A 20,506-nucleotide genomic window follows, 5' to 3' on the forward strand; every position below is an offset into this window, starting at 1 on the left:
CAAAATTCTCTATTTTTGTTTAAGCCAACTTAGTCTCTGATACTTGCAAATAAAATAATCTTAATTAAAATACTCAGAATGGTTAAGAGTCTTAACCAAGCAGTCAAGCCTAGAGCACAGACCAATCTCCTCTAACTTCAAACCGCACCCTCTTGGCTGGCTGTGGGGAAAGTGGGGATCTGAAGGGACCTATGGCTCCTTCCTGTCCCCTTCCTAGGAGTGAGGAGTGGAGTCCTAAAAGCAGAGCCTGCAATGAGATGTGCAGACCAACACCTGCTCTCTGTGTCCTAGACCCATTTGAATCTGAAATCCCAAACCAGAGTCAAGTTTCATTCCATGAATACCTATTTCAGCCACTCTCAGAGTGCCAGCCCCACTCCACAATGGGACAGTGATTCCCAGCTTCCCTGTGGAATTGTCTTCTAACCAGTTTTGTTTGGATTGGGTTTACCGGTAGAGATATGATTCTAAACTTTTCATTGGCATGCCTGGAACAACCCAGCACTCACACACACCCACACTCCCAGATCTGAAGACCTTCTTCATCTGCCATAAAACAGAACATCACCTTTTCCTTGGCTGAATGCAGCATCCAACACACTGGAGGTCCAGCTGATAGCAGGGAGGCAACATTGTTCCCCAGGTTGTCCACCAAAGGGTGGGTATGGGAGGTCCTCAGAGCTGTTAGTGGAATCAGAGGCTACGGGAGAATTCTGCCCCTGGTTGGGAGACCTGGAATTCCTGAGCAGTCCCTAATAAATGTATACCAATAAATGTTTGATCAATAAATTAATCCCAAGAGTCCCTCAGGCCCTCATCCCCACAACCAGCCTCCATTCATCCTATTTAACCTGCTTTATCTAAATGTCCCTCAGATCCAGTCTTGCCTCCATCAGAACTGCCCCTGCTCTTGGTCAGGTTCTTACTCCCTCTCCCAGAGGCTAGCAAAAAGTAAATCTCTGGGCTCCCATCAACCCTCGCTCTCTGTCCCAATCTAGTTTCCATACCAGCAGCTGCCCAGTGGTCTTCCTAGAGCAGCCCCATTACTCCCCAGATTAATGCTCTGCAAGAGATCCCACTAAGGTCCTGAGACCTGGTCTCTGCCTATCTCTGTAACTTCATCTCTAACCTTACTCTTTGCACTGGAGGGGAACTGTGCTGTGGACTTCACGATGCTCTTTCAAGACTTCACGACTTTGCACATGCAGTCTCCTTTGCCTGGATTGCCTTTCTCTTCTCTACCACCGTTTCCAGTCTAACCTCTACCTCCTACTTAGCCTTTCCGACTCTCCTCTGGTGCACGTCCTCTGAGAAGCTTTGGCAGGCTCTGCCCCACTGCTCCCACCATGTGTTCCCCAGGGCCCCCAATTATCTTACTTAGTCCTCTCTCCTGCACACTGCTCACCTCATAAGGTAACTGATGGCTTACTTTTCTATATTCACCATCCAGCCGTGAGCACTTTGAGGTTAAGGATGCAGCTTATTCATCGTGGATATCAGGAAGAAACAATGATTGCCCTTCAGAATAAGAACTGACTGTAGTTGCTTTTACATGCTAGGGGGATAGGAAAATTCCTATCAGAGGAGATGGCTGTTTATTTAGGAAAATATGTTGCAGCGCCTCTTTGGGATGAAATGTGATGCTCTCCTAGGCATAATCTAGAAAGAGCAGTCATATGAAGGAGGGACCAAACTGCATAGTAAGATGAAGAAAGGTTTCCAAAAAAAAAGGAAAAAACAAGAAACGTTTCCATTCTTCTGGACAGCCCCAGTGGGAAGGTAAGCATTTCTTGAGAAAACAAAGGGACGTGGGGAGTATGCGAGAAGCTATGTAGGGGAGGGTGGACACAGCAAGAAGGCTTAGGGTCTAAAGAGGAAAGGTGGACGGTGGGACATCTCTGGGACAGTGTGGGCTGAGGAACCTGAAGAAACAGATGTCAGAAATTCAGGTTTAAAGTGTTTCCTGCACTGTGCTATTCTATGCTGTCACACACACACACACACACACACACACACACATACACACACAGTCCTGCCCCTCTCCCCACAATACCCCAAACCTTCAGGCAAATGCTAGCGATCAACATTGCTGGGGTGATGCTCAAGAGGAATAAAGGCAAAGAAACCTCGTCTTGCAGGGACCATGCACAGAGGGACAGCAGAGGAGCGGAGCTGGCAAGCAGATGACTGAGAAGTCGAGAAAGCAAGTCAGAAGGGAAAGGTAAGCATGAGAACCAAAACCATCCCAGGAATTTGCTGAAACCTTGGGGAAGGCATTAAAACCATTGGGAAGGAGTGGGCTCAAGTCATTTACTTTAAATATTAAAGTAAAGGTTTACTGCTGAATGCATGCTCAAATGAATTGAAATTCTGATCACTTTGGGGACCTCTGAGACTGGCCTGCACACGTTTCGGGGCGCGCTCTTCCACAATGCACGGGAAAGAAGAGGAATGTCAAAAATGCTTGGCAATCCCATGGTTGTAATAGAGGGTGTAAGAGGTTGGAGGTTTTTGAGAGTGCTGAGAGCTGACAAGGTTTCCTTAGAGAGGCTGGGGAGAACAGCAGAGGAAACAAAATCTTTACTTGCCAGAGCAAGAGGGAACCTTCGGAACACCTGTTGCTCGGACAGCAAATAGACTTCTACCTCAGTGCCAACTCTGATCAACTGCTAGTGGGGGCCTGGAGCACTGCCTTAGGAAGAATTCTAAGGCTCTGTCCAGATTCCACAAGAAAGAATTCAATGATCAATTAATAATGTCTGCCATGGGTGCAGGAACAGGAATGATAGCCTGTGTGCCATAGAGTTGCCCTCTCTTATCTAGCCAAATTTCTCTTTATATAGATGGAAAAAAAGAAGCAACTTACCTAAGTCACATGGTTAGTGGCTACAGTCAAATCTAACATCAAATTCTGGGCTCTTCTCTGCACTGTGCTCCCTTACACAAAACACAAGGTAGAGAAGCAGGATGGTTAATATCTTGGCTAGTTGTCTGGTGAAATTAAGCAAGGCACAAGGACGGACCATGCCAGATGAAGGCAGGAAGGAAAACTGTATTAGGTTTATGTCAGGAGCAGGTGTTGGCCAGAAAATCTCTTTGTTCACTTTAAGAACACACAGCTTCCAGGTGCATCAGAAGTCCTGCAGAATGGGTTAGCATACCAGTGTGACCAGGGCCCAAGCTCAAGGTGGGAGGGATAGGAATTTTCATGATAGGAAAGGAAGAAGACATTGACCCAGGCAGTCCTGGCTAGTGTCTTTTTTTGTTGTTTCTCTGGCTAGTGTCTTTATATTATGCATTCATTGAACAAATATTATTTAAGCATCTTAGAGTAAATTAGCGAACTAGGAGCTGGGGCTAGAGTTCTTGAGGCATTTGCAACAAAGACAGGGAGGAGACAGGCATGAAACTGCTAATTACGCAATTAGTTATATAATTATAAATGGAGATAAATGCCATGAAAGGGTACAGGGAGCTCCGACAGCAAACAACCCTGGGGATCTGATGTAATCCAGAGAAGGAGAGAAAGCATTCCTGAGGAAGTGACATTTAAACTGAGACTCAAAGGATTTAAACAGGAGGTAATGATAGATTGAGGGTAGAGAGAGGCAGGAGAAGAAGAAAGACAGGAAGACAGAGGGCAGAGGAAAGAAGCTGTTAAAGGCCTAATGGAGGAAAGAAACATGACATATTTGAGGAACTGAAAGACCAAAAGGCCAGAAGGGCTGGAACACAAAATAGGCATGTTTTTCAGGTTGTTGTCAGGGGGCATGAAGTTAGAAACCAACAAAGGATATATCCACGACAGTAACCCCACCCCTCCCCACACCTGTAGCCTATGTGGAACCAAGGCATGAGTTTTTAGAAGACATCCCCTCTGGATTGACAGCCCACCTGAACAGCTGGGCAAATGGAGCCCCCACTTAGCCCCTCAGCCAGGCACATGTGTGCAGTGCATAGCCTGCACAGCTGTACGTGTCAGTCCTGTCCTCACCTCCCTCATCCCAGCCCCCAGCAAGTAAGTTAGACCAGTATCCATAGAAATCAACTGGTCATCCCATTAAAATACAGATTCCAATTTGGTAGCCCAGGGTGACGCCTGAGATTTTTCATTTCTAATGCAATTCCTAGTGCTTACTGCTGCTCCTCTGTGGACCACATTGAATGACAAAGAACTCGCAGACAAACTGCGAAGGACTTAAGCATCAACATCCCAGGGAAAACTGAAAAGAGAAAAAGTCCATGGAAAATGATGTTTGATTAAATGCAATTCTTTTGGATTATTTCCCACTGTGCGCCAGGGCTTGTCATGCTGGAGACAGGTAAACACGATACAGCCCTTGTCAACAAGGAGATGGCACTCAAAACCTGGTGGGAGAGATGAGCAGAAGCACAGACCCAGGGCAGTAATTAGTCCCATAGAGAGAGAAGCGAAGAGCCCTGGATCCCAGAAGGAATGACTAGTGCTAATTAGGAAAATCAGGGAGGACTCCCTGGGAGAGGTGACATTTGTGGAATGAGCAGGATTTCGACATGAGGAATATAGAAAAGGTAAGCAAAAGAATTGGGATATACCTCAACCAATCAACCAAGCAATATATAAATAGATCAATTTTTTAATAAGAAGAAATAAAATATGAAGGAGCATGAAGATCCCAAGGCATATGGACCTTAAGGAGGGTTTGTGGGAGGCAGTGCTAGAAAACTCATTCAACATCAGACTCTCCTGGATTTTAAATGCCAAGTTAAGAGAAGAGAAACTTAGGAAATCTGTATGTTTTACCAAAAAGAAAAAGCAAAGCCCTATTAGGCAGAGTCTGGGCCAACTGCCCAAGCTCCAGTTCTGCGAGGCCTCCTTCGGCAGCGCCCAGTACTGAGGAGGACCCGGCAGGATCAATACACAACAGCTTTCAGGTGTCCGGACTTGTGTTGTCAACACAAGAAGGTCGAGGATAACAATGCCTGAGGGCAAACATCAAACCCTACCTACTGGGGCAGCAGGCTGGGGGGAAGCAGCTGGAGAGAAAAGGTTTTCAGAAACAGAAAAGGAGGCCTCTGAAAAGGACTCAATGAAGGAGACACGAAAGATAAAATCCAACCTCCTTAAAAAGAAAACCCGTAAAATTGTGTTTACAATATCAAAGCCGATGAAAGAAATGGATGGTTTGAGAGGGAGGAGATTTAGAAAGCCCTTTAAGAGGCTGCAAGAAATAAAAAAGCCAGGACAAAAGCTGAACACCCCCAGAATCCCTGCATCCACATCCCCCAGTACATCCACCTCTCCCCACCTTCACCATGCTGAAATCAGACCCATACCTGCAGCCCTGGCCAAACATAGACTCCAATACCAACCCTGCCCCAACAGAAGGAGCCCAACAGGGTTTAGCCCATGCCCAAGGGAACACAGCCTCAATCCAGCCTGGCTGTCTACCCTGCTCTGGCCTTATGCCCACTTCTGCAGTGGCCTCAGTCTTGCCTCAGAAATGAAATCTCTGCCTTAAATTGTAGATCAGTGGATTTGAGTCCCTGCATGGCCTGCCTGAGTCTACTCAGGCTGAGACCCCACCAAGTCCTCCTTCACTCTGGGAATCCATCCACTGGGATCCCATCAACTGCAGTTATTCCTGTAGATAGATAAACTGAGCCATCTGAACCAGTCCTGCCCAGAGTGCAGAGGCTGAAGGGAGGCAAGGACTTTTTCTAAAGGCAACAAGAATCAGACAACTCAGAGCTAAGTCATAGAAACAGAATCTGCCTGGCTTTTTCCTCCTTCCCACATCCTTGGGTGTTTCTTGTGCACTCATTCATTTCTTAAACATTTTCAAATGTTTTCCCAGAGTGAAGCTTTACACTGATGATACAAAGGTGATGCAGGTGTAGCCCTGAAGAAAACCTTCCTACTGGCATGGACATGGCATTCTCCCAGGCTCCTGACTCCAGGCATTCCTTTCTCTGCCTTCTGGGTGGCATCCCTCTGCGGGGTGCACTGTCCCTCCCAGTTGCAGCCAGGGTGCTCCATAGCTCCTGGTGGATGACAGTGCCAGCCCTGTGGCCTCCCTACATAAGGCTGCAGTGGGAGGGACTGAGGGACAATGTGGGGTGGATGGCTTGCTGCATTTAGCTCTGAGCAGGGGAGAGCTCAAATGCTTTCTCCCCAAACAGATTCCTACTGATGAACCATAAATAAATTCACATTTCTTCACCGCAGATGGATGGAATGCTGGGGGGCTTCCTGAGCAATCCCACTAGCAGCAGACCTCGTTCCCAGACTCTCTCGTTCCGAGTCTGAAACAGAGGGTCTGGTCTCAGGACCAGCTCGCAGGTGTCACATTGTCTTCTTCCAGATCCCACGGTGGGTGTAAGGTCCCCCATGCTGTTCACAACCACAGTCCTTTCTAGCAGCTCAGACTGCATCCCCTGACAGTCTCTAAGTATGTGTGTATAAAAATACATGTATCTGGGCCAGGCGCGGTGGCTCACGCCTGTAATCCCAGCACTTTGGGAGGCCAAGGCAGGTGGATCACCTGAGGTCAGGAGTTTGAGACCAGCCTGGCCAACATGTCTCTACCAAAAATACAAAAATTAGCTGGGTGTGGTGGTGGGCACCTGTAACCCCAGTTACTTGAGAGGCTGAGGCAGGAGAATCACTTGAACCTGGGAGGCAGAGGTTGCAGTGAGCCGAGATTGCACCATTGCACTCCAGCCTGGGCAACAAGAGTGAAGAAAAAAAACAAACAAACATGTATTTATCTCCCAGCTCTGTCTGCTGAGAGGGCCAAGATGCAAAGAAATCCCCGTAGCAACAAGCACACCTAACACCTAGGTCTTGGTTTTTAAATACTATTCTCCACTAAAAGGAGCCAGGGCTCCTTGAAGAAATGACCAATCCCAGGACTTCAGCAGGGAAAACATGAGGCGAGAGAAACCTCGGACATCTTGCCTTTGCCCAGCCTATTCCCTCTTCCTGGGCTGCCTTCCCACCAGTTAATTCTTCTCACTCCCTTCTCTGACAGTCCACAGTAAGCAGCATCATTCTATCATTCTGTGCACCAGTCAGCGCTCAATCTTCTGTTGCTGGACAGACTTAAGAAAGCACCGTGGGCAAGTGTAGCCCCTTTGGAAATCCAACTGACAGGTGCAAACTCTGGTTCTGCTCAGCACTCATTGCTTAACCTCTCTGAGGCTCAGTTTCTTCCTCTGTGAAATGGGGGTACTGATGCCTACCTCCTGGGGTGCTTTGAGGCCTCGGGCAGGCATCCATGCTGATCCGACAGGCTCAGTACTCATCCAGAGCAAACACTAAACAGCAGTATTTTCTCCATGGTGATGTGTTCGCCTGCCCTATTAGAGTCTGAGCCTTCCTCATCTGTCTCTTTCCATTCCCCAGCACCCAGCACCATACCTGGCACCCCAGGAGCGTTGCCTCCGTGTTTCTCACGTTGTTTGTGTTGCTAGCTGATATCTGCTCACTGGCCCTTGTTGACTGAATGGGCTGATGGGCACATAGCCACACTTGTTGACTGAGCTTTTCCTACTGATACCCACTGCCTGGAACCTGCCCAGGGCAATCCCTCATAGTATCTGCCAGGGCCCCCAACCCCCTGGATAAAGGCAAACAGGAAAAATAGCCCTCTTGTTTCCTCAGCCCTGCCTCTGGCCGGTTCTACCTGCCTCTTTCTTGTGCTCTCTAGAACACCCCCATTTCTCTGCACCTCTATCTCACCTCATCACTGTCTCTGCACCTTGTCAGTGTTGGGGTTCAGAAAGCACCCCAAAAGGAAGGCCTCAGAAGCAGACTCAGAAGCAGTTCTTCTCTGACCTTCTTTTGCCCTCTTGTCTCTCAGTCTCATTCTCCCCTGAGGTTAGCCATACAAACTAGAATCTCTCTTCCCTGAGGCGGGTCATGGAAACCAGAACCTCCTTTACCCAAAGCCAGCCATAAAACCCAAAAATATTACTCTAACTTTCCCTCTGCCTTTCTGTGTAAAAACTGGCTATAAAGAAATTATCTAGCCTGGGGTGCTGGCTCACACCTGTAATCCCAGCATTTTGGGAGTCTGAGGCAGGAGGATCACTTGAGCCCAGGAGTTTGAGACCAGCCTAGGTAACACAGTGAGACCTTGTCTATTTAAAAAAAAAAAAAAATTAGGCAGGCATGATGGTGTGCTCCTATGGTCCCAGCTACTTGGGAGGCTGAGATGGGAGGATCACTTGAGCCCAGGAGGTCAAGGCTGCAATGAACCGTGATTGAGTCACTGTACTCCAGCCTGGGTGACAGAGGAAGACCCTGTTTCAAAAAAAAAAAAAAAAGGAAAAGAAAAAGAAAAAGAAATTATCTGAACTACCTTGTTTGACTGTAGGTTATAAGACTCCCATTCCAGTGAAGGTCCTGCTCCCTGCCCAGAAGGAAGGAATGCGTGCTCACAGATGCCAAGAAGAATCTAAGCAGACAGGCCCTGCTGGGTTTCCCCTCTCAGTCTATTAGCATTCGATCATAGCCTTTTGTCCAATCATATCTCTACACGACTGTTCATACTTTGTTGAACCCAAGCACAAAAGTGGACATTTTCTCCTGCATCTTTGGGCCTTCATTCTGAAGCCTCTCATGTATACGCACCAAATAAATGTGTATGCCTTTTCTCCTATTAATCTATCTTTTGTGAATTGATTTTTCAGTGAAACTTCAGGTGGCCAAGGGCCTTGGCCCCTGCATCAGCATTGCCATGCCTGAGTTTCTCTGTGTGTCTGTGGCTCTGCTCGGTCACCATGTCTCTGCCCACCTTTGCTGACTCCCTCTCTGTGGCTTCTTCTCCCTGCCACCATCTTTCCCTCCCACAGAACGGCTGCGCTTCCCCTTGCCGATGGCCTCGTTGTCCGCACTCAAGGATATGGGCCTCAATAGCACCTGCACGCATTTGTTGCTACCTCTTCATTGTTTTCCTGGTGGCAGACCAGCTTTTCCTCTCTACTCCTCAGGGATTTATTGCAGATGGGTTTTTTTTATCTCCTCTATCTGGGGTGTCTGCCCTTCCCTTCGTGTCCCTTCCCCCAATCCTAGAACCTCCAGTGGTGGTGACTTCTAGAGATCAGGGGGAAAAGCTCAAGATCAGGGCAGGAGAAAAACCTCCAAAGTCCCAAGATAGGATCTTCAGAAGCAGCCTGAGGATCCTCCTTCTGTGAAGTGTGGTGCATGCAGGGAGGGGATGGATATGTTAACACATGCCACACATACAGGGTGACATGCTACATGGGAAGAACATGTGCTCAGCCTCCGAAGTCATCAGGAAAGTTCATACACCCTGCGTTGGGGACACGTGAACACCATGAGGGCCATTTATTTGAGAGCATACAGGTCCCACCTGTGCAAGGCAAATCCCAGCCTCCCAAAGTGCTGGGATTACAGGTGTGAGCCACTGCACGAAACAGCTGATCTATGCATTGGAGGACATGGTGTTTGAGGATGCAGATGTAAATGTTGCGGGAGAGGGGAATGTACAGAGTATTCAGCCATTTGTTCTGACTAAATGAACTCTTCACTGCCTCCTTGCCTGTTCCATGTGACTTGCAGGGCCTCCCTGCAGGAAGGGATATCATTTCCCACCCCAATGACATCAGGCATGGCCATGGAACATCAGGCTTCAGCCAAGGGAGTGTGCACAGAAGTGACACATGCCACATCTGAACAGAAGCTTCTAGGGTCATATTGCTCTGCCTTTGCTCCTTTTCCTCTGCCCCAGGAACCGCATGCTCTAGACAGGGCCTCCTCCTTCAGCCCAGCTACCAGAATGAAAAGACATGAGGAACAGACCTGGGATCTGACTTGCAGATAATAGGTAAAGTAAGAGTAACATAAACGTGTGTTGTTTGTAAGCCACTGGCACTTGTGGAATTTGGGGGTCATTTGCTAGTGCAGCATGACCTAGTGAAAGCTGAGTGAAACATTCCATGTAGCCGCATGGCCCTAAGTACTCTCCACATGCTGATGGCTTTTTTTTTTTTTTTTTTTTTTTTGAGACAGAGTCTCGCTCTGTCACCCAGGCTGTAGTGCAGAGGCACAGTCTCGGCTCACTACAACCTCCACCTCCCAGGTTCAAGCAAGTCTCCTGCCTCAGTCTCCTGAGTAGCTGGGACAACAGGCATCCACCACCATGCCCGGCTAATTTTTGTATTTCTAGTAGAGGCAGGGTTTCACCATGTTGGCCAGGCTGGTCTCGAGCTCCTGACCTCAAATGATCCACCCACCTCAGCCTCCCAAAGTGCTGGGATTACAGGCGTGAGCCACAGCACCCGGCCTGATGGGTCTTTTATATCTATCTCCAGGCACATCTTTTTCTCTGAGCTTCAGACCCATCTATCCAACTGTCAGTTCCAGTCTTCACTTGGGTATCTAACAGGCAGATCAAACATAACTTTGGCACATAACTCTTGATTTTACTACCAACCATCCTCGTAAATCTGCTCCTCCTCAAATCTTCTCCAAATGACCTGTCAGATTTACCTCCAAAACCTCTAGTCAAAGCCCCATTATTGTCTATCTAGCCTACTGCAACAGCCCCCTAACAGGTCTCTCTACCTCACATACAGCTGCCACAGTTGTCCTTCTGTACAGTGTAAATCAGATCACATCATCGAGGCTTTCCATGGCAATTAAAATTAAAAAAAAAAAATTCTCACCAAGGCCAACGGTGTTTGATCTGATCTGCTACTAAATAGGTATTTAATGATGATGATAATAATAATTGCTTAATTTTATGTCATTTTGACTGGGCCACTGGGTGCACAGATATTTTGTTAAATGTTATTCTGGGTGTGTCTGTGAAGAAGTTCCTGGATGAGATTAACATTCGAATCAGTAAACTGAGTAAAGCAGATTGCCCTCTCCAATTTGTTCATCTGGGCTTCATCCAATCTGTTGGAGGTCTGAATAGGACAAAAAGGCTGAGTTAAAGAGAATTCACACTCTTTCTGCCCTACTGTCTTCAAGCTGGGACACTGGTCTTCGCTGCTGCCTTAAGATTCAGACTGGAAATTAACCATCAGCAATCCTGACTGTCTCTCTGTGGCTTCTCCTTTCTGCTATCTTCTTTTCCTCCTACAGAAAAGCTGCCTTTCCCCTTGCTGATGGCCTCAAGGACATGGGCCCTCAATAGCACTCAACAGTCTCTGACCTTTGGACTCAGGCCAAAACTACACTATCAGCTCTCCTGGGTCTCCAGCTTGTCAACTGAAGATCATGGGACCTCTCAGCCTTCATAACCATGTGAGCCAATTCCTTATCATATAGAAGACATGTATATTTATGTGATAAGGAATATATTATACATAAACATATGCTATTGGTTCTCTTTATCTGGAGAACTCAGGCTAATATGATGAGGAGGAGGAGGAAGAAAGAGAAGCAGAAGAAGGAATGAGTGTGAGTGCTCAGGCCTGTTGGGGATGCTCTGTTGAGCAGACTCAGCTCGGATCTGACAGTAAATACCTGTACCATGACTAGTCTAAAACTTAAACCACCTAGTTTGCCACCAGCTCCTCGAAATTGGCCAAGAGAGGGCCCCATGTTCACAAGCCAAGTTTGCCATGTTCACCGCCTCTCTCTTCCTTTCCCAGTCCATGTCCTCCCCATCCTGCATGGTCCTCCCAGATGCCAGCCCCTTCTGCTGTATTTCCCAGAGTATAGCTGAGCTCTGGAGTGGTAAGGGAATCCTTCAACACAGACTATGGGTTTTAAGATTCAAGATATTTTTGAGCCATGATGTCACCAGAACAGTGTCCAGAGGCCCTGAGAATTGAAACCAGGAATCCAGGATCCAAGCCCAGACTTAGATGGGGACACTGGGTTCATGTTTAACGAGAGGAGATCCTATGGTTTGAATGTGGCCTCTCCATTATCCAGACATTGAAACTAATCACCAATGTAACAATATTAAGAGGTAGGGCCTTCAGGGGGTGATTAAGTCTTGAGGGTGGAGCCCTCATGAATGGAATTAAGTGCCCCTACAAAAGGACTTGATGGATGAAATTTGCTCCTCTTGACCTCTGCCTTCTGCCATGTGAGGACACAGCATCTCTCTCTTCTGGAGAATGCAGCATTCCAGGTTCCATCTTAGAAGCAGAGACCAGGCCCTCATCAGAAAACTGAACCTGCTGGAACTTTGATCTTGGAATTCCCAGCCTCTAGAGCTGTGAGAAAATACATTCCTGTTCTTTATAAATCATGCAGTCTGTGGGATTTTAACTTTACTTTAGGTTCACAGTACATTTGCAGGTTTGTTATATAGGTAAACTCGTGTCAAAAGGGTTTGGTTTACAGATAATTTCATCACTCGGGTACTAAACTTAGTACCCAATAGTTAATTTTTCTGACCATCTCTCTCCTCCTACCCTCCACCCTCAAGTAGTAGGTCCCAGTGTCTATTGTTCCCCTTTTTGTGCCCATGAGTTCTCATTATTTAGCTCCCACTTATAAGTGAGAACATGCAGTATTTGGTTTTCTGTTCCTGTGTTAGTTTGCTAAGGATAATGGCCTACAGATCCATCCATGCTCTGTGGTGTTTTGTGATAGCAGTATGAAATGGCTAAGACAGGAAAGCAAAGTCACTCGATTGCATTCAGACAACATCACCCTCTGCATCAATCCCTATTCTGGGCATTGCGGGGAGACACACAGAAAACCAAAGACTTCCCTCACTTAGAAGGGAGAGGGTAGAGACACAAGCCTAGCCTCAGTTGCTCTTGGTGTGATGCTGGAGACACTGCTGCCTTCAGAGAGCTCCCAATATGCAAGAGCCTCACAGTTCACAATGGAGGCATTGGTCCAGACCCCTTCCCTCTGACTCATCCATCCCTCAGTCCTTGCTCTTTGCTCCAAGCCTATCTGTGTCGGGCTGCCAATCTAAGGTGACTCAGGAATATCTCAGGTTGAAGACACACTCCCTCTTCTTCCCATCCCATGGGGCTTTCTGACTCCAGGCTTTGGGGAAACAATGCTCACTGGGACCTCATCTTCTCTGTCCCATGTAATTCCTGAGATATCTGCTCATCAGGCTAGTGTCCAAGCTAGTTCTGCTCCATGGAGAAGCCTGACTTTTACTCATGATTGTAGAGAAGCATCGAGAGCTCATTCCCATGGCCTACCCTACAAAGAGAAGGAACAATAATGAGAGAACACAAGTAATCAATCAGCATGAGAGCAGATTTCTTGTTGGCATTTATGTTGTCGTTATGTTTTCTTCATGGCAGCAAGGTTCTACAGTGGCATTTCTAAGGCTAATGGAAGAACATGGGGTTGAAACAAAAATACTAGTCTTTGGGGCTCTGAGGCTCCAGGGATTACTGTCGTTTTATTCAGAGTAGCTCCCCTCTTATCAGTTTTATATATTGTGGTTCCATGTGAAATGTTATTTAAAAGTGGTTCTTCCAACTAGACAAAGATTTGAGAACCACTGCTGCTCTGCTTGCTACCATATACAAGTCCTGTGCCATCACTTAAAGTGCATTATGTGACATTATAGATGTCCGTTGTCAACTTGGTGTCACCATCACATACATCATGCCACATGCCCTAGTATCTAAGTGAGCATGTCTTTTGATTTTATATTCAGTTTGTTTATAGCATGTTTTTCAAATTACAAAAGTAACACATGTTTGATTATAACAACTGAAACATACAATAAAAAGATGGTAAATTGTAGCGCCAGTCCCCACCCATGACCTCTCCTCTGATGTAAGCAGTGTTAATATCCCGTTATGTAACCTTCAAGTGGACATCTATCATGAACAATTTCAGCTGTCTCTAAAATTACTGATGCAAGAATCTGTCACCTACGATAGCAATTGGTATGAGCAAGGCAAGATATGAATATATATTTCTTGTTTTCATCCACAAGTTAACTAATTTCCAGAGGCTGTCTGGGTTTCCAACAAGGAAGAGCAACCATAGTTGACCAGTGACCATGCAGTCTAAGTGGACCAACAGATGGAAAACCCTGTCTCTGAGAGGGGTGCCCACGGTCACAATTAATGTGGGGCTATAGTTCTGGGATCGAGCAAACATTATATGTATGAGGCTGTGAGCAGTGTTCATGCACCTGGATCTCCAGGTGCTTTTTCAGAGATGGTGAAGGCTTGTGATTACGGTCTGGGTGTAAATCCCACTCTGCCATTTTTTGTGAGTGGTCAATTCACCTCTCTAAACCTCAGTTCACTCGTCTAAAAACTGGAAAGAAGAATAATACCCTATGTATCAGTCAGAGTCCAGTCAGAAACACTGAAGCCAATTCCACATAGTCCAAGTAGGAAGGGCTTTAATGAAGGGAATTAGAAGCTTCTACAGCTGTTAGAAGACCTGGGAAAGAATAGCTGGGGAAGCCACCACTGAGCACCCAAGGACACCAGTACAGCAGGCATCCAAGGTCTTACCCAAAACCCCTGGGAAGCTCTGCTGGCCTTCTCAGGCTGCAGCAATGAAGCAGGTAAAACTCAAGTGGAAGGTGCTTCAAACCTCATGTCTGCCTATTTATCTACCTACCTGCAACTAATTCTGGAGAATCACAGCCTCGCCACCTTTCCTACTTTCCAAACCTTCCCTAAGCACCTCTTTTGGCAGACTCAAACCAGGAGCCATATGGCAAAAGGCATTCTGGGAAATGTAGGTCTCATCTCCTCTTCCACAAAGCAAGGGACACCTGATGACAGGTGGTGGTGATGCCAGATGAACAATCAACAACCTAGCACAACCTACTGCATAGGCTTTTTATGAGATTAAATGCAATAATGCAGAGACAAAGTCTTAACAAAGTGCTTGGTGCACAGTTAATGCTTAATAACTGGCAGTTATTATAATTCTTTTTATAATTTTGATTGCAGAAATGGTGGCTTTCCACCTCGCCCAGCACACTCACTCCATTTCATGCTACAGAAAATCCTAGGCATTGGGGTTCCTGTCAAAAGATACATTTCCCATTGTCTCACACCACTCAGCAGGTCCCATCACTTCTTTTTCCGATCCGATTATAATGGCAACATTTGTAAATTGCTGAACCTCTAATTCCCCATAAGCATGTAGCCTGACTCAATGTATTCAAATCAATTACACAGAAAGGCATGAACTAAATTCTCTACTTCTGTATCCTGGTTTTACATTTCATAGTGATTGTACTTGAAATCACCACCAAAAAAAGAGCATTATGCTACAGGTGTGTCTTCTTCATCATAAATCAATCAAGGCATGAGGAGATCCAATAATAACCCTATTTATGAACAAGCAGTTCTAGCCTCACAATTACTATCACCAAACATTTCAGAATAATGAAACGTTTCCAATGAGAATTAATTTAAAAAGACCAAAATGCATGCAAACTTACTTCCATGAAACTTAAATTCAAACCATCCCATGGGTAACCAAATTATACTTGTAAAGAACTCAAATTGATTGGACTTCAAAATTCAAAATTCAATTGTAGAAAATAAAATAGGTTATAAACCGCAAAGGCCTTTGCCAAGCCATCCCCTGCTCTGAAGCACAATCCAAACATCACATGGTCACACGTCAGTGCTGCCTGCAAAGAAATCCATTTTACAAACAAACTTAGGGTAATAGGACCCAGATCTGTAATGCCTTATCCTGATTAATGACGGACCCACACACTGTTATATCCATGGTCACCAAGAGAAAAGCTAACATTCTTGGAAGCAGCATTACTCTTAAAATTGCAATAATCTCCAGGGAAAATAACCCAATTTAAACTTATTCCCTCTTTAGCTAGAATGTGTTTAACTCTTTTAAACTTGTTCTTTGCTGTTACCTGTGTCCTTCAAAGACATGCCCCTTGTTATTCTACGTAACTCCCTTCACTCAGACCTTCAATAATTGCAAAAGCAATTTAACCCCCAGTTTACCATGATACTATTAAAGAGTAAAATAGTCAGTAGCCCAAAGAAATTCTTAGGAAGCCAACACTTTCAATTGGCATGCTTTTTTTAGACCCTAAATTCATATGCATAAATATGCATTCGTTCAGTCTGTCAACCCACGTCTAGGTAATGGTTGAATAAGTTAGAGGAGCTCTCTGACGTCAGGGAACTTACATTCTAGTCAGAAGAGGCAGATACATGAATCAACAAACAAGACCATTCAGGATGCATACGCATTGATCTGAAAGTCTCTTCACTTCACTTGCCTGAGCTGAGGTGGGACCACAATCTTTGAAGAACCAAAGAAGGAGAGTTCTCAGAAGAGGTTATAGCAAGTGCAAAGGTCCTGTGGCAGGAAAGAGCTTGCCAGGCTCAGGAGGTGGAAACATACATTGCCAAATACAAATACACACACAACATATACACCAACACACACCAAAGACTTTCTACAAGGTTTCATTAAATACTGAGTGGGTACAAAAGATATTTATAAAACATGTCTGCTGTACAAAGAATAACAATAAAGGGAACATTCGTGTATCCCACCATCCAGTTTAGAAATGAAAGCGTGACCATCAAGCATGACCTCTTTGATCTGATTGCCTCTCTTCGTAACCCAGAGAAATGCTAATCTGAATTCATTCTCCAATGTTTTTTTTCTTTATCACCTTATATCCTGAACAATATATTGTTTAATACGTTTTTGATCTCTAAGACTAGAATCTTGCAGTTATGTAGGTTTGTATGGCTTGGGGTTTTTGTAGCCAAGTCAAAGCTATGATAAATTTGTTTCTGAAATTTTTGAGTGAAAGAGTTAATAATTTTTAATTAGAATTTGTTATTGAGATAATTATAAATTCATATGCAATTCTGTGTACCATTTATCCAGTTTCCCCCAGTGGTAACTGATATGGTCTGGCTGTGTCCCCACCCAAATCTCATCTTGAGTTGTAGCTCCCATAATTCCCACGTGTTGTGGGAGGGACCCAGGGGGAGATTATTGAATCACGGGGGTGGTTTCCCCCATACTGTTCTCATGGTAGTGAATAAGTCTCACAAGGTCTGATGGTTTTATAAGGGGAAACCCCTTTCACTTGGTTCTCATTTCTCTCATATCTGCCACCATGTAAGACGTGCCTTTCACCTTCTGCCATGATTGTGAGGCCTCCTCAGCCATGTGAAACTGTAAACCCATTAAACCTCTTTTCCTTTATAAACTACCCAGTCTCAGGTATGTCTTTATCAGCAGCATGAGAAGAGACTAATACAATAACATTTTTAAAACACTAGTACAATATCATAACCAGGATATTGACATGATACAGCTCACCAGTCTTACCCAGATTTCTCCAATTTACTTGTATCATTTGTGGTCTGTGTGTGTGTGTGTGTGTCCATCACTAAAGTCAAGACATCAGCCAGTCCATCACCATGAGGATCCTTCATGTTGTGCCTTTATAACCACCTCCCTCCACCTCACCACATTCTTAACCCTCAACAACCACTAATCCCTTCTCTATCTGTAACATTTGTCATTTCAAAATGTTATATAAATGTAATCATACATATGTAGCCTTTGGCATTGACTTTTTTCACTCATAATAATTCCCCAAAGATTCATCCAAGTTGTTTGTAATCAATAGCTTGTTGCTTGTTTATTGCTGAGTAGTATTCCATCCTGTGTATATACCACAGTTTGTCTAACCAGTCACCTGTTGAAAGGCATCTTCAACCAACAGGCAAAAGGTTAAACAAACTGTGGTATATTTGAATGGTTAAACAAACTGTAGTATATTCGACTATTACAAATAAAGCTGCTGTGAACACTTGGCTATTGCAAATAAAGCTCCCCAGGTTTTTGTGTGGACATAAGTTTTTATTTCCCTGGGATAAACACCTGAGGGCGCTACTGCTGGGTCATAGGCATGCTGGGTTTTATAATTAGCTGCCCTCTGTTTTCTAGGCTAGATCTACAATTTTACATCCCATCAACAATATATGAACAAGCCTATTTCTCTACATCCTTGCCAATGTTGGGTGTTCTCATTTTTTTTTTATTTTAGCAATTCTGATAGATGCATAGTGATATGTTATCATGGTTTTAATTTGCATTACCCTTATGTTGAACATATTTCATGGATTTTTTTTGCCATTTGAATAACTTACACTATGGAATATCTATTCATGTGTTTTGCCCATGTTCTAGTAGATTACTTGTTTTCTTTTTACCATTGAGTTTTGAGAGCTCTTATATAATCAAGATTCTAGTCCTTTTCAGGTGTGTGATTTGAAAATATCTTCTCCTACTCAGCAACTTGTCTATAGCTTGCTTTTTTACCCAAGATTATTGTCCTCAGTTTTATCTATGCAGATGGATTTTTTTGGTTTTGTTGCTGTATCATTCTACTATTGTTTTGTATTTTGCTGTATCATTATACTATTGATGGACATTGCTTATTGTTCTGCTTTCACAAGCCATGTTACCATGGGCTTTCTTGATGTGTCCACTGCTGCACCTATATAAGTTCTCTAAGGTATAGACCTAGTAACATTTCTGGATCACAGGGTATGTGCATTATTAATGTTATTAGATAATGCTGAATTTATGCCAAAGAAATTTCATCACTTAGAACTGCCACCAGCAGTGTAAAAGTTCCTATTACTCCATGCCTTTGCTAGCACTTGATCTTATCAGACTTTTTTTCAATTTTAACAATGTAATGGGCATATAATGATATCTATTTCATTTGTATTTCCCAAGTTACAAATAATCATACAAATAAATACAAATAGTTCCTTTACTTCCCTGGTGAAACTGAATATTCAGTCTAGACATTCAGATTTCCTGTTTCATTAAGTGTCTATTTAAGTTACTTTGCCCATTTTCGTATTGAGTTGTGTATTAGTCTGTTTTCACACTGCTATAAAGATACTACCTGAGACTGAGTAATTTATAAAGAAAGGGGTTTAATGGACTCACAGGGAAAGCCTCAGGAAACTTATAATCATGGCAGAAGGCAAAAGGGAAACAAGGCACATCTTCAAAAGGCAGTAGGAGAGGGAGAGAGAAAGAAGGAGAAAGAGCCACTTATCAAACAACCAGATCTCATGAGAATTCACTCACTACCACGAGAACAGCACGGGGGAAACTGGCCCCCTTGATCCAATCACCTCCCACCAGGTTCCTCCCTCTGTTGGCAGTGGCCGCTGCCATCATGCAGGCTGCAGCAGGGAGGCACCACCCCAGGGCTGCACACTCCGTGAGGCAGGCAGGAGCTGGTGACAAGTGGGAGCCCCACCCCTTTTGAGTTGGCAAGGCGGGAGTTCCCTAGGTGCAGCTGTGGCCACCCTCCCAAGCGCAGGACCCGAGAGTCTCTGCAGTCTTCACTCTTGGGGGCCTCAGAAGTCCCCCCCAACCCCCTGGCCCCACAGGCTCTAGAGTGTCTGCTCCTGCTGCCTGGCCTCTCCACTCCTGGCACCCTACTCCAATCTTGGAGCCAGGTTGGGGCCTATCCTGGGCACTGGCACAGCCTGGCCAGGTGTGCACATGCTTGGGGCAGTGCTGACATGCCAGTACCCTGCTACCTCGGCCTCCTCCAGAATTTGGGCAAAATGAGCATGAGAGGAGAAACTGAGGGGGAGGGCTGAGGGTGGCTTGGCACTGGCCTGCAGGTGCCTTTTGGTGCAAGCAGCCTGGGCACCATAGGCACCATGGATGGCAGCAGGAGGCAGACAGGCTCCTGGATTGAAGGGAGTGGATCCCTAGTAAGGCCCTACCTTTAGGCCAGGGATGGCCTGAAGGCTGGGGGCTGAGCAGTAAGTCCCGCAGATCAAAGTGGGGACTTGCAGTGCCTTTCAGGCCTGCCCATGGCCACCCATGGACCAACTGACACACACTTCCTCCCCTCTGACATCCGTAAAAGCCCCAGGCTCAGCTAAAGCAGGGTAGAGGATGGAGAGATGATGGGATGACCAACTTCAGAGAGGAGCTATCCTCTCTGCTGAGAGCTGGGAAGAAGAGAGGAAGACTTGCCTGTAGAGAGGAGCAACTTTCTCCAGAGCCTCCTCTCTGTTGAAAGCAGCAGACATCAGGATGACTGGCTGCAGAGAGGAGCTACCCTCTCCAGGGCCTCCTCTCTGTTGAAAGCAGCAGACATTGGGATGACCACCTGCAGAGAGGAACTACCATCTCCAGGGCCTCCTCTCTGTTGAGAGCTGAACCCCTGACAGGACAAGGATGACCAGCTGCAGAGAGGAGTTACCCTCTCTAGAGCCTCCTCTCTCTTGAGAGCTGAACCCTTAATGGGACAACCTGCCAGCAGAGAGGAGCCACAGACCCCAGGGCCTCCTCTCTGCTGAAAGCTGAACACTCAACGAGATGACCTGCCTGCAGAGAGGAGCTATCCACCACAGGTCTCTTCTGAGCATTCTAACACTCAATAAACCTCCTCTTCATCGTGTTTACCCTACACTTGTCTGTGTACCTCATTCTTCCTGGACACAGGACAAGACCTCAGCAAAGGTGCCACCAGCCACAGAGGTTTCTGGCCAATTGATACCCCAAAGATCCCTTAACACCTCAACACATAGG

General features: G+C 45.5%; 1 long non-coding RNA gene and 1 other non-coding gene across 4 annotated transcripts in view; both read right to left on the reverse strand.

Moving 5' to 3' along the window:
* Positions 1-20,506, reverse strand: part of LOC105378641 (uncharacterized) — a 227,461-nt gene that overhangs the window by 194,144 nt on the left and 12,811 nt on the right. The gene's annotated exons all lie outside the window — the stretch shown is intronic.
* Positions 17,597-17,692, reverse strand: MIR552 (microRNA 552). Its single transcript, NR_030278.1, has one exon. It is a non-coding gene; the product is annotated as a microRNA 552 (primary transcript).

The sequence above is a fragment of the Homo sapiens genome, chromosome 1, assembly GCF_000001405.40.
Source record: "Homo sapiens chromosome 1, GRCh38.p14 Primary Assembly".
In the NCBI taxonomy this organism is placed as follows: Eukaryota; Metazoa; Chordata; class Mammalia; order Primates; family Hominidae; genus Homo; species Homo sapiens.